This window comes from Homo sapiens, chromosome 1 (assembly GCF_000001405.40).
Source record: "Homo sapiens chromosome 1, GRCh38.p14 Primary Assembly".
Taxonomy (NCBI): domain Eukaryota; kingdom Metazoa; phylum Chordata; class Mammalia; order Primates; family Hominidae; genus Homo; species Homo sapiens.
In genome coordinates, this window is record NC_000001.11 from 161,732,402 (window position 1) to 161,747,076 (window position 14,675).

The 14,675-nt window shown below is 41.4% G+C and overlaps 1 pseudogene, besides 3 other annotated features; it reads left to right on the forward strand.

Annotated features, from left to right (window-relative positions):
• Positions 3,407-3,701, forward strand: RN7SL466P (RNA, 7SL, cytoplasmic 466, pseudogene; annotated as a pseudogene).
• Positions 3,700-3,809: an enhancer, noted in NCBI's record as "active region_2000". NCBI's record gives its function as "activates an Ori minimal core promoter by ATAC-STARR-seq in GM12878 lymphoblastoid cells {active_cell/tissue: GM12878}" and the evidence as "EXISTENCE:reporter gene assay evidence [ECO:0000049][PMID:35858748]".
• Positions 6,597-6,806: an enhancer, noted in NCBI's record as "active region_2001". NCBI's record gives its function as "activates an Ori minimal core promoter by ATAC-STARR-seq in GM12878 lymphoblastoid cells {active_cell/tissue: GM12878}" and the evidence as "EXISTENCE:reporter gene assay evidence [ECO:0000049][PMID:35858748]".
• Positions 11,643-11,802: an enhancer, noted in NCBI's record as "active region_2002". NCBI's record gives its function as "activates an Ori minimal core promoter by ATAC-STARR-seq in GM12878 lymphoblastoid cells {active_cell/tissue: GM12878}" and the evidence as "EXISTENCE:reporter gene assay evidence [ECO:0000049][PMID:35858748]".

The following is a 14,675-nucleotide window of genomic DNA, read 5'->3' on the forward strand; positions in this document are numbered from 1 at the left end:
CAAAGAGAATGTACCAATTTGTGCTTCTACTAATTATGAAGGTGAAAGCTTGTTTCTCTTACCTTGGTCAAGAGAGCATATCATTGTACTTTTATTTTTTAATTAAACCCACGAAAACCTTTTGACTATCCAGTGTTGAGTGTCCCTAGTCAGATCCCGATAGATTTACTATCCTGTGCCATACAGCAGTCCAGTGGTACAGTCCCCCAAGGGTCAGTGCACTTATTTGTAATGCTAACCCATCCAACTCCTGAATTCCTTGCTAGCTGTTCTGTAGTTAGCTCAAAGAACTGCACTTCTGACTGTAATTCCTTATTAAATACCCGTTTTCTGTCCATTAGAGCTCTTATTCCAAGCTAGATCATTGTAGTCCTTCGCGAGATTTTCAGCATGTACTATAGTTAGCCCATATTGGTTTAGTTTGTTCCCTAGTCACTCTACCTGCAAAGATAATTGGTTTCAATGTTTGACATTCTACTTATAATGAGAATCCTCATATAAATGTACACGCCTGATAGAGCTGAGACTAAAAAATTGGTACAACACACTACTGTCTTTTTCAGTTCAAAGGCGTCAGTCTCACTGCAGTGTGGGAGATGATCATTCTCTCATCTCTTAACAGTAAATATACCCTAGTGCATCATGTTAAGTTGTAATAGCCAAGCTAATTAGCTTTGGACCTAGAGATGGCAGAGTTGTATAAAGTTAAGAGTCTTGGCTCAGGAGTCAATAGACTTGGGTTCGAATGTTGCTTTTACTACTTAACAGCTGTGTAGCTTTGGGCAAGATACATTGTCTCTGAAATTCTGTTTCCTCTTTTGTAAAACGGAATGATAATAGTACATGCCTATAGAATTGCTAGAAGGATTAAATGAGATTTGTAAGTAGTACATCTAATACATAAGAAGCAGTAAACTGTTATTATGACTGTAATTCATTGAATCTAAAATGATATTAATTATAGGATACACCATTAAAGAAAGCATAAGAAAAGGGAAAACATGGCTAAATAACTACACAATGTCTTTTAGACTTAATTAAAATAGACTTATAAAATCATAAATAATGAATAAACAGGGAAACATATGTGAAATAAATTGGGTAAGATACTTCTAAAATGTTTTTACATTCAGATTCTGACTTTTCTGAATCACTTTCCAACTCATATTTATCAGTGCCCATGTTTCCTCACTCCTGTGACATCTTTTCTATGAAAATCATGGGAAGTGCTGCATTTCTTAAAGGAAGTCATAAAAAAGTAACAGTCGTTGTTGCCAGACTTTTAAGCTGGTTTTATAATTATCTGGAGCTAACTTGCTTTTGACTTCTGCTCCAGGAATGTTGCTACACAAGTCTGATTCACCACCCACCCCATTTTTCCCACAACTAACAGTTGCTTCACTGTTGTCTCTAGAAATTTTCTCCAAGCTGCTTACACCATTTTGTAAATTTTGATGCTGGTATTTTAATGTTCATATAAGCAATGAAAACTATAACAAGACAGCAATTATTAGATACATCATGATTTCAGAGATGTTAAAACATTGTTTAAAAAAGTCTTAGAATATATAAAATAAAATAAAAAATCCTGAGCTCTAGGCAAACAAACTTCAAAATGTCTAGGAAAAAAAGTTACATATAGTCCTACATGTGGCCAGAGACTAAAGGTGGACATCTTTCAGGATGAATTGGAGGTCCTCAAAAAATCTGAAGGGGAAAGTAAAGACTGTTTAGTTCAACCAAGAAACCATTTATTGAGATGCTTCAGGCTGGGCATGGTGGCTTATGCCTGTAATCCCAACACTTTGGGAGGCTGAGGTGGGCAGATCACCTGAAGTCAGGAGTTTGAGACCAGCCTGACCAACATGGTGAAAACCAGTCTCTACCAAAAATACAAAATTAGTGGGGCATGGTGGCACGCACCTGTAATCCCAGCTACTTGGGAGGCTGAGGCAGGAGAATTGCTTGAACCTGGGAGGCGGAGGTTGCAGTGAAGCGAGATCTCCCCATTGCACTCCAGCCTGGGCAACAAGAATGAAACTCCGTCTCAAAAAAAAAAAAAGAGATGCTTCTAAATTTTTCCTGCCATGTGGCCACGCAGCTGTGCTTGACTTTTTGTGAGAATGTGGCCTTCCATTACTTCCCAAGGAAAGCCCACTCTTATCTTTGGACAGCTCTAGAAATTAAAAAGTTCTTCCTTACTATAATGAGCAAAATGATTTTGTTGTAACTTCTACTCACTGTACCCCCTTGTGTTACACAGAACAAATCTAATTTCTGGCCCTCTTGACAGGCCTTCAGATAACTAAAGACACTGCTTAGCTCATGCCTATGTTTTCTTAAAGGTATACTATTTCATTCGAATTTTTTTTTCCTCAGGGTTTTTAACTTTTTCAAATTTGGAATTCCTTCTCCATCCTGGCCTTTTTATTTTTATTTTTATTTTTGCTGTTAACCTATTTTTATTTTGTTTTATTTTTATTATATTTTAAGTTCTGGGGTACATGTGCAGAACGTGCAGGTTTGTTACATAGGTATACATGTGCCATGGTGGTTTACTGCACCCATCAACCCGTCATCTGCATTACGTATTTCTCCTAATGCTATCCCTTCCCTACCTCCCTAGCCCCCAACAGGCCCCAGTGTGTGATGTTCCCCTCCCTGTGTCCATGTGTTCTCATTGTTCAACTCCCACTTATGAGTGAGAACATGCGGTGTTTGGTTTTCTGTTCTTGTGTTAGTTTGCCGGGAATGATGGTTTCTAACTTCATCCATGTCCCCCCAAACCACTCGTTTTTTAAATAGCATATCTCCAGTTTTAAAATTTGGGACCCATGACTTACTTACCATGTTCCTCAGATGGATGTGTCCAGGGAGAATACGGCAGGAAGGCAGGGTTTTATTTTTATTTTGTACAATTAAACAATTGTACTTGTGACAGGATGTCAGAAATGATATTTCAAGATACAGTGGACATGAAATTCTGAAGCTGGATCATCATATGAAGAATTTACAAAGGAAATGGTTGAGGATCTATCTGTTCCTTGACTTTTGGACTCTGAAATCATGTCAAGGGATAAAAAGGGGCCAGGATATGGAGAGGAGAGAGGATCTGTGAAATGATTTATTTGCCATATTTCCCCTTCATAGTGGGGAGGCATGGGAAGCTTACCTCCTCATTCTCAAGCCTAATGAGAAAGATACCCATGGAATCACCCAGGTAGGTCTGAAATGTATTCTCTGCAGTAGGGAGATACAGGGAACTGGGCCTGACTTAGGCTTGAGAAAGTTAAAGTGAGCTATGGTGGTAGGATAGAAGAGCCTATTTTAGGATTAGCCAGCCCTACAAAAGATCCAGGAGCCACATCTATATATATTTCTGTGGCCTATGAAAAACAGAGTGCTTGCTGGGCACAGTGGTGCATGCCAGTAGTCCCAGCTCCTCAGGGGGCTGCAGTAGGAGGATCGCTTGAACCCAGGAGTTCTGGGCTCTAGTGCACTATGCCCATTGGGTATTCATACTAAGTTCGGCATCAATATGGTGATCTCCTGGGAGCAGGGGATCTCTAGATTGCCTAAGGAGAGGTAAATGGCCCGGGTGAGAAATGGAGCAGGTCAAAACTCTGTGCTGACTAATAGTGAGATAGCACCTGAGAATACCCACTGCACTCCAACCTGGCCAACACAGAAAGACACTGTGTCTTTATAAAAAGAAAGAAACAATAACAATAAAATTAAGAAGAAAGAGACCTAGTATGGGGTTGCCTTGGTTCCTGTACTATAGGGTCACCAGGAGGGGCAGATAAAGGCACCAAAAAGCTGGAGTTGCATCTATATTCCTAGGGGCAGAGGAAAGAGGTGCACTGGAACACCTGGAGGAGAGATGCATCTGCCTTGAGCACAACACCCTAAGGAAACAATTCCCAGAAATAAACATCCAAAAAGTCTACAAAAATGCTCATGGGAGAACAAGTTAGCTTTAGCCACCTGTCAAATTCAGAGAGTAGAAAGCAGCTCAGCCAAATAACTTTCTGTTCCCTTACCTATTCTCCCTTTCTTCCCTCTGCTCTCCTACTTTGGCCTACGTGAGAAGCAAACAGACGCTAATGAGAGGAGGAGGGGATGTGGAGAGAGAGAGAGAGAGGGAGAGAGAGAGAGAGAGAAACACCAATCAAGTCCCTTCCCCAAGTCAACACCTTAAATGGATAAGTAAGAAGACAGACTTACCTTTGGATAAAGACTGGAGGTCTGATTAACATCTAGAATGGGCATCCTGATTTAGAAATTGAAACTATACTTGTAGCCTAAAGTCATTATAAGACTCTCCATTACCTAAAGAAGCAGAAAAATCATGGCTATTTGCAAACTTTAATGTACACATGAATCACCAGGGCGCTGGGTGATTCATGTGTACATTAAAGTTTGCCAATATCCACGGCAAATGCAGATTGTGATTCAGTGGTCTGGGGTGGGGCCTGAGAGTCTGCATTTCTGAGAAGCTTCTAATTGATGCCAATGTTGAAGGTTCTTGGGCCACACTTTGAGTAGCAGGGTGCTGTGAGCCAGGGAGGATTACCCACACTGAATACATTTTAAATTGATTTTGAAAGATAAAAGAGCTACATTTTGATCAGGTAATGAATTGTGCTTTTAACATACAAGTTACACTTTATTTAATTTTTCAAACATTATTATGAATATAGTCTATTTGAAAACTTCATACTGTATTAAAAAAATGTTAAGCCTATTTTTCTTGCCATCCTCCCACCCACTCCCTCAGTGGGTTATAGATGTAACCACTATTTAACAATTTGATGTGCACTCTTCCAGGCCTTTTATTTTAAAAAAGAGCTTTTTAAGTATATTATTATATTGATCAGGATTCAATTTCAGAGAACAGAATTAACTCTAGCTGGATTAAGGAGGAAGGAATTTATTACACAGTATTTAATAGCTTACAAAATGGTTGGGAGAGATGAAGAGACAGACTGTAGTTTGTGTTCTCAGCAAAGTTTCCCAATATCAGTTCAACAAGGGAGTTGCTGCCTCTTCTGAGATCAGAAATTTGCCAGCCTTGGGTCACACAGCCATTGCTATGATTAAGAAAACAGTCACGATAGAAGAGACACTGCTATTGCTACGGTGCCAAGACCATACCTGTCTTCTATGGTCCAAGGAATGGATGCTCAGGGCCCTGCCCCTAGCAACACAAAGCTAGATCCTGGACACTAGGTAGGTACTATTGCTGGTAAAGAAAAACCAAAATCTTTCTCAACCAGGTTTCCAGAAGCAACATCAGCTGCAGTAGTACAGCCTCCGCTTCACTTTTACCTTCCATGTGTTGTATAAGGGCTTCTGAATGGCCAGACTTAAATTACACCAAGCACCTCACTGCAGGGGAGTCACGGTCCCTTTTACATTTCCAGGCTCTGCAGTTCAGAAAGGCACTTGAGATGGTAATGAGTGGATGTTGACACCACCTCTACAGACAACAAAGGGGTTAGTCCTAGAATTTTATTGCTGGAAAAGACTTAGGGATTTAGTCTAACTTGTTAATTTGAGAGAAAGGAAATTGAGACCCAGAGAGCTGAAATGACTTGATAGTGATGGAATAGAAATAGAACTCCAGCCATTTACATGGAGTTGAATGTAGCCTAACGAGATAGCTTCCTCTCCAGGACTCGTGATATTCTCCAGCCCCATTGGGCTTATTGCCTATAAACTTACCAGAGAGATTGTTTTCATCTAAAGCACACCTCTTTGCTCCCCAACTTTTGTTTATGCAGTTCATTTTGGGGACCAAAATGCAAAACCTTATACCTTATATTTATCTCTTTTAAATTATGTCTTTGTTAATGTAATAAGACAATTTTTGATCCCAGTACAGTCCCTCCCAGCTTGTAACACATGCATATTAGGTAAGCATATCTTTATGCTCTAATCAAAATTACTTTTTTAAAAAATTGAATAAAGCAGATGAAAGAAATTTGGGTGGAGCTCTATCTCACTAGAAATCTATTTCTTGATCGCTACCTATCTGTGTTGTACTCTTTTGGTATGATTGTTTGACCAATTACCAGCCTAGTTGACTGTTCTCTCTCTATTTTTTTTGTATTTTTTTTTTTTTTTTGAGACAAAGTCTTAATCTGTCACTCAGGCTGGAGTGCAGTGGCACGATCTTGGCTCACTGCAACCTCTGCCTCCTGGGTTCAAGCAATCCTCCTGCCTCAGCCTCCAGAGTAGCTGGGATTACATGTGCTTGCCACCATGCCTGACTAATTTTTGTATTTTTAGTAGAGACAGGGTTTCGCCATATTGGCCAGGCTGAGTAGTTGACTGTTCTCATATTGAGCTCATAATTATCTCCCTTGTCCACAAGGAGGTCTGTCCAGAAGCCTAGGGAAGTACCCAGTATATGAACATTTCCCTAATCTGCCTGTCTACTCATCCTGTCAAAAAAAAAAAAAAAGAAAACCAAAAAAACAGACTATCAGGGCAAGACCATTCTTGGTAAGCTCATGCTGGCACCTAGTGGACACTGCTTCTTTTTAGGAGCATTTACAAGCCCTTCCTGCAGTCATCTGCCCTGAGAATATCATTTTGGATTGGAGGCAGCCTTAAGGTTTGATAGCCTGAAGGTATAGAAGCAGGTGGGACTTGCCCATGGAGTACCCCTGTAGCCCCAGTAAGGGGATTTGAGATCCTCTGTGAGAGGGCTGTGAACATGAAGCCTGTGAGGGACAAGGACACGAGACTGCAGGAGCCCTGGCCTATGACAGCACTGCGACTCTGTGGCCACCATAAGGGCGGATGTGGCCAGGGTGACTGAACACATGTTCCAAGACAGCTTGCAAAGTCTCAAAACTAATTCTCCTTTTTGCCTAGACATGCCAGGCACATTGAATAAAACAACTTCAAGTGTCTTAGCCTTCATGTCTCTGCCACCTTTGCCTCATCGCTCTTTCTACCACCCTTTCCAGGCCCTTATCCCTCATTTCTTTCACCCGTGGGAAAGACCCAGCTTAAAGTCACCTATTCTAAGAATTTTTCCCAGCTTCCTCCAGCTAAAATGAATTATTTCTTTGTCCCAGCCGCCAAAGTATTTTGTTTGTACTGTCAATTGAACGTATGGTTTGAGACATCTGGGAGAAAGAAGGGGATATATTTGGTGGTAAGGAGATATGTTTGTTGGCATGACATCTTAAAGGATTTGGAAATAATCTGTGGACTAACCTAAAGTTTACAGGACTTCTGATTTTTCTAGTTCAAAAATCCTTTAGGGAATATTAGAGAAGGCATTATTGGCCTTAACTTTTTTTGGATAGGGGCACAGAAGTTCAGAGAGCTTAACTGGCTGGGCCAAAGTTATTTAACTACTACGTGACAGAACCAAAATTTAAATCTAGGGTTTGTGCATGCAAGTCCAGAGCTCTTTCCACTATAACACACTGGCCTAAGTGCAGGCAGCAAAAGCTCTCCAAGGTTGTGACGGGACCCATGGCCATTCTCTGCATTTTGTCTGTCCGGGGAAGAATGGAGGGAGAGGGTTTGTGCAAAGTGTCACTCAGCAAACCCTGATGTGGAATGGGGAACATCTGTGGTCTCCCTTGCCCCACTCATCTGACTCTCTGTTTACCAATTTCTTCTTGAATCAAAAAAGGAACTGAGAGCATGGCCCAAATGTCACGAACCGGTTCCTGCCCCAGCATTTCTCAGAAGGACAGATAAACAATGTGATGGATGTGCTAATGTTGGGTTGGGTGGGGAGGGTCGGAAGTTGGGCAGGAAGAGTTATTTGCTCAGTTGGCCAAGTTATTCCTACGCAGTGAGAGGGCTTCAACTACCAATCCATTATCGCTGGTCCTAGGGTTCTGTAGAGCTGAAGTTATTGCCTCAGAATCTTGATAATAGGTGCTACAGAAGGAGGACACATCTTTACAAAGACGAGCCTCTAAATGAATATGCAGACTTAGGGATGTGGTTGTGGCAGGGTAGATGATTAAGATCTACTTTTCTCTAAGTTCTCATGGCCATTGAATTCCTGGACTGGTTGTGTAGTGATTTATCTCTGCCCAACAGCTTTTCTCACCAGTCACCCATAGCCATTTCTCCAGGCCACTTCTTCACCATAGCTCCAGCCTCTCCTGTTCTGCATCCTCTCTGAACTGCCTCTAGTGCAGTGGTTTAACTTAGAATTTCTTTATCGCACTAATGAGATATGTTGTCCATTCTTACTACGGCTCTGCAATGTGCCTATACTTATTCCTATTTTACATATTAAGGAGCTGAGACTTGGGAAATCAAATAACTTTTTAAGAGTACACGATTACCTATTAGTAAGTAGCAGGCCCAGATGCAGCTTGGGATTCACTTCTAGGTTTTCTCTGGCCTCAGACTATGTGCCTCAAAGACAGTGCTAAATTTGAACTCATCACGTCCTAGGTACCTACCTTCTATAGAATCATGTTATTATTCTTCCATTTATATTTTTGTTCGACATTGTTATTTGGGAGCCTCAAAGTATATTTTCACATCTGTCCTAGATCTTAAGTCGCATTAAGAACATAATTGTAAAAATTGACAAACAGTTACTGATAACTCACGGATGCAGGAGGGCACTGGTGGCAATGCTGGAAATATTAATAGAAAGAGGAACTTGTATTTGGACCATGATGAGGAGGTGATGAGACAAAAGAAGGGAAATTTCTCTGTGACTGCTCAGCAGAGATCTGCACTTATAGTAAATGTTCTATAGATGATAATTATAAATCACAACTGTGACTATGCTCTAGAAGCCCACAAGTTTTGAGAAACAACTAGAGTAAGAAGACTGGGGTCATGTGTATCCGCATGCGGTCAGCCTTGTTACATAAAATGGGTGCCTTCTCAAAAAAGCAAGCCATCGCACACTTGACGATCTCTTAGCATTTATAAGAAATTTTTGCTTACTCAATATTCATCAAGATTGCAGTTTTAATGGTGATAAAAACAAATTGTGGCTGTGTGTGTGTGTGTGTGTGTGTGTGTGTGTGTGTGTTTGTGTGTATCTACTAATCCTAAAACAGAGAGCCTCTTCTCCTTTCCTTGACGGGAAAGCAACCCAGCTCCCTCTCTAAAGATAGCATTTCCTTCCTTGGGCCTAACATCCTGATTATGCTCTTACAGGGCTTCCATATTCATTTTTCCTTTTTTCAAGACAAGTGCAGAGAAAACGTATTTTACCAAAAGGCAAATAATGCCCCCTAGTGGCTAAAATCCTAAATACAGAAGCTGTTAAATTCACTCCCAGTTAGATATATACTGAGCCAGCCTCTGCGGGCATTCAGTAACAATCGAGATGTGTCTCCTGCCCCTATCCTTGAAGGAACTTATGCAGTAATTTTAGGGAATTGAGAAGGGAAATCTCACTTCTAAGGATACCATAATAAAATGTCAGTAAATGAACCCTTACGTTTCACCTCTTTTCCAGAATATAAATATCTATTATTCTTCATGGTGAAGAATTTTAATAATACTAGTTGAAATAGATAAATAAAAACTATATAAGAAGAAGTACATAATGCATTTCATGTAAGTCTCTCTCATAATGCCCACTCCCATAAATAACTAGTTAATGGTTTTATATACCATCTATCTTTCAACATTTTTCATATATGTGCATACATATATGTATTTTTAAAGTAAATGTGCTCAGACATTTCTACTTGTAAACCAGCTTTTTAAAACTTTATGATATAACCATACAATCCAGCAATCCCACTGCTAGGTATATACCCCAAAGAAAGGAAATCAGTATGTCAAAGAGATATCTGCACTTCCGTGTTTGCTGCAGCACTATTCACAGTAGCCAAGATATGGAAGCAACCTATGTGTCCATCGACAGATGAATGGATAAAGAAAATGTGGTACTCATGTGATAGAGTACTACTCAGCCATAGAAAGAATTAGATTCAGTCACTAGCAACAACATAGATGGAACTGTGGATCATTATGTGAGTGAAATAAGCCAGGTAGAGAAAGACAAACATCGCACGTTCTTACTTATTTATGGGATCTAAAAATCAAAACAATTGAACTTATGGAGATAGAGAGTAGAAGGATGGTTACCAGAGGCTGGGAAGGGTAGCTGGCGGTTAGGGAGGAGGTGAGGATGATTAATTGTTACCAAAAGAAAAAGAAATAGAATAAGGCCTAGTATTTGATAGCACAACAGGATGACTATACTCAATAATAATATAATTTTACATTTAAAAATAAGTAAAAGGGTGTAATTGGATTGTAGCACAAAGGATAAATGCTTGAGGGGATGGATACCCCATTTTCTGTAATGTGATTATTACACATTGCACGCCTATATCAAAACATCTCATGTACCCCATAAATATATACACCTAGTATGTACCCACAAAATAAAAAAATATTATTTTAAAAAACTTTCTGATATAGCTACCACATCCCTCTTTGTTATATTTCTTAGTAGTTGCCTAGTATTTCACTGAATTGATAAAACAACCCATTTAACCAATCTATTACTTGTAGTCATTTAGATGTCTCCAGTTATTCAATATTATAGACAGTGGATGCTGTATCGGCAGTCACCAAGATCATCCTCAGGCTCCCTCAGGCTCCCTCAGGCTCACTGATTTACTAGGAGGATTCACAGAACTCAGAAAAGCTGATATACAAAGTTATGGTTTATTAGAGTGAAAGGATACAGATTAAAATTCAGCGAAGGGAAAAGGCCCAGGGGTGAAGTTCAAGAGAAACCAGGTGCAAGCTTCCAGGTATGGCCTCCCAGAAGAATTTGTACAGAGATGTGCTTAATTTTCCCAGCAATGATGCATGGCAACATGTGTGAAGTATTGCCGAGCAGGAAGCTCACCCAAGCCTTGGGTTTTTATTGCGGGCCAGTTGCATGGGCATGCGTCACCTGCATGACTGACCTTACCTACTCAATTTCCAGCCTCCCGGAGGTCAAACTGATACAGCATGGCCCAGGGCCTCAGGCATACGGAAACAGGCTTTACCATAGTCACGCTGTTAGCATATCTAGTCAAACTGATATAGTGTGGCATGAGGAGTTGGTCAAGGGCCAGTCCTCCCGAAGACAGACCATTCCTTGAACTTGCAGGGCTTGAGCAATCAGAACCTGCAGAGTTAACCCTTTACTACACATACGTCTTTTATATTTATGATCTGAACACTGACTAGGCCTTCAGCAGCCCGTTCCCACAGGTCTGCTTCCATGTATGCTCTCCACAGAGAGTATTCACATATTCGCCACTCTCCTCAGGCAATTTTTCCTCAAACTGGCTATTCTTCTCACAGCTCTATCCTCACAGCATATAAACTAGGTTTTTATTTCACCCAGAAAATAGAAACCATCAGAAGAGAATGCCTTTAACTTCTTGCCGCCAAAACTCCTGAGCCTCCCTTCATCCCCACCCATTATTTTCTTCTTTCCTCTGGTTACCATGGAAAAGGTTAATCATCCACTGGGCTTTGGATCCCATTCCACCCCCTAATTAATTCAAGGACTCCTTTTCTCCTGTATCTTTAACTGTTTTCCCTCTTCTGATATGTCTACAACTTTTCCTATAGAAAAAAGAAAAAGAAAAGAAACACCTCCCTCTTGCACACTTCCCTTTGGGTATGGTCTCTCCTTTCTTTCATCTTGAAAGTTGAGTCCACACCTACCACCTCCATTTTCCTGCTTTCCACTTCCTCCTTGCCTCCTGCAATCAGGTTCCATTTCCCCAACCCCACTCCCAACAATCTCACCGAAACTACTCTCGCTATGGATACTAAGACCTTGTGATTGTTAAACCTGATGAAAGCTTTTAGTCCTCACTTTATTTGGCCTCTCTAGTATGACTCATCCTTGGTTTCTAAGATACCAAATTTTCTTATTATCTGTTCCACTATGACTCAGTTTCTGTTGTGGGTTCCTTTTGCTTATGTGTCCCTTAAATCTTATTTTTCCTCAGCAATTGCTCAATTCTTTTTGTATTTTATTCTCTCATCCTAGGCAATCTCATCAATCCTAGTTCATTCATAAAATGATGACTGGGGCTGGGCATGGTGGCTCACACCTGTATCCCAGCACTTTGGGAGGCCGAGGCAGGTGGATCACCTGAGGTCAGGAGTTCAAGACCAGCCTGGCCAACATAGTGAAACCCTGTCTCTACTAAAAATACAAAAAAAAAAAAAAAAAAAAAAAATTAGCCAGGCAGGGTTGTGCGCACCTGCAATCCCAGCTACTTGGGAGGCTGAGAATATCTTGAACTGAGGAAGAAGAATAGCTGAGGCAGGAAAATAGCTTGAACCCAGGAGGTGGAGGTTGCAGTGTGCTGAGATCGCACCACTGCACTCCAGCCTGGGCGACAGAGCAAGACTCCATCTCAAAAAGAAAAAAAAAAAATGATGATGATGATGATGATTGGATCTCTTTTTTATCTCTTTTCTGAGGGTCATATCCCAGTCTCCAGCCAGCCCAGCCAATGATGACATTTACTTTTCTCCAAACTGTCCCTCCTCCTTTGTTCCCCATCTTGGTGAATGAAATCATCATCCACTCAATCACTCAAACTAGAAATAAAGTTATCTCTTATTCCTCCCTCTTTCCTCTCTCATATCCATTTGGTCTCTAAGCCTCCTCCCTTCTGCCTTTTTAATCGCTCTTAAACACATTCCCTTCCTCTGTGTTTCCTCTACCAGCACCCTTCATTCCTTGACTCAATTATTGCCTTAATTCTTAACCAGACTCTGCCTCTAGAATTGTCCTCCCAGCCTATTCCACACACTGTAGTCAGGGTTGTTTTCTAAAATACAAATCAAGTGGCATTATTCTGCTGCTTAAACTTCTTTAGCATTTGCACGATCTTTAGGAAAAATTTAAAACTTCTTAGCAAGGCATACGTTGCCCTTATGATCTGGTCATGCCTATCTTTCCAGTGTCCTGAAAGCAACTGTGAACACCATCTGCATCATCCTTCTTTCTCCCTTTTCCAACAACACATTTACACTTCGATGGGGCTTTCTGGCCTTTGTGCCTTTGAAGATGTTGGTCCTTCCGGTTAGAACTTCTTTCCTCATCTCCCTCCTTTTTCCCTGACAAATTCCCACTCATCCTTCAAGATGCAGATCAAGCATCACCTCCTCTGGGAGGCCATCCCTAATTACCCTCCTTCCATTAGGATTGGATGCCTCCATGTGCTCCCTTAGTACACGGCCCTTGCCTCTACTATAACACTAATTAGCTATTTACTTACTTTCACTCCAGCATTTCACCAAGTTCCTTGAGGGCAAAGACTGTCATACATCTTTATATCCTCAGCATCTACAGTCGTGCCTTATTTTACTTAGCATAATGTCCTCAAAGTTTTTATTGTTGTTGAGATGGAGTCTTGCTCTGTCACCCAGGCTGGAGTGCAGTGATGCGATCTCGGCACGCTGCAACCTCCACCTCCGGGGTTCAAGGGATTCTCCTACCTCAGCCTCCTGAGTAGCTGGATTACAGGCATGCACCACCATGCCCAGCTAAGGTTTTGTTTTCATTTTTGTTTTTTAGGATGGAGTCTCGCTCTGTTGCCCACGCTGGAGTGCAGTGGCATGAGTTCAAGGGGGTTCAAGTGATTCTCCCGCCTCACCCTCCCAAGTAGCTGGGATTACAGGCGCCTGCCACCATGCCTGGCTAATTTTTGTATTTTTAGTAGAGATGGGGTTTCACCATGTTGGCCAGGCTGGTCTTGAACTCCGGACCTCAGGTAATCTGCCTGCCTTGGCCTCCCAAAGTGCTGGGATTACAGGTGTGAGCCACTGGGCCCCGCCTTTTTTTTTTTTTTTTTTTGTATTTTTAGTAGAGACAGGTTTTCGCCATGTTGGCACGGCTGGTCTCAAACTCCTGACCTCAGGTCATCTGCCAGCCTCAGCCCCACAAAGTGCTGGGATTACAGGCATGAGCCACCGTGCCCGACCTCAAAGATAATCTATGTTGTAGCATGTGACAGAATTTCCCTCTTTTTATATGGCTGAATAATAGTTCATCATATGCATATACCATCTTTCTTTCTTTCTTTCTCTTTTTCTTTCTTTCTTTCTTTTCTTTTTCTCTTTCTTTCTCTCTCTCTTTCCTTCCTTCCTTCCTTCCGTCTTCCTTCCATCCTTCCTTCCTTCCTTCCTTCCTTCTCTCTCTCTCTCTCTTTCTTTCTTTCTTTCCTTTTTGGAGACAGAGTCTCGCTCCATCCCTTAGGCTGGAGTGCAGTGGCATGATCTTGGCTCACTGCAACCTCCGTCTCCTGGGTTCAAGCGAGTCTCCTGCCTCAGCCTCCCGAGTACCTAGGATTACAGGCACCCACCACCATGCCCAGCTGATTTTTGTATTTTTAGTAGAGATAGGGTTTTGCCATGTTGGCCAAGCTGGTCTTGAATTCCTGGCCTCAGGTGATCCACCTGCCTCGGCCTCCCAAAGTGCTAGGATTACAGACGTGAGCCACCGCGCCCGGCCCATACCACATTTTCTTTATCCATTAATCCATGATGGACATTTGGGTTACTTCTACCTTTTTGCTATTGTGAATAATGTTGCCATAAATATGGGTGTGCAAATATCTTTGAGATCCCACTTTCAATTCTTTTGGCTATATAACCTAGAAGTGAGATTGCTGGATCATGTG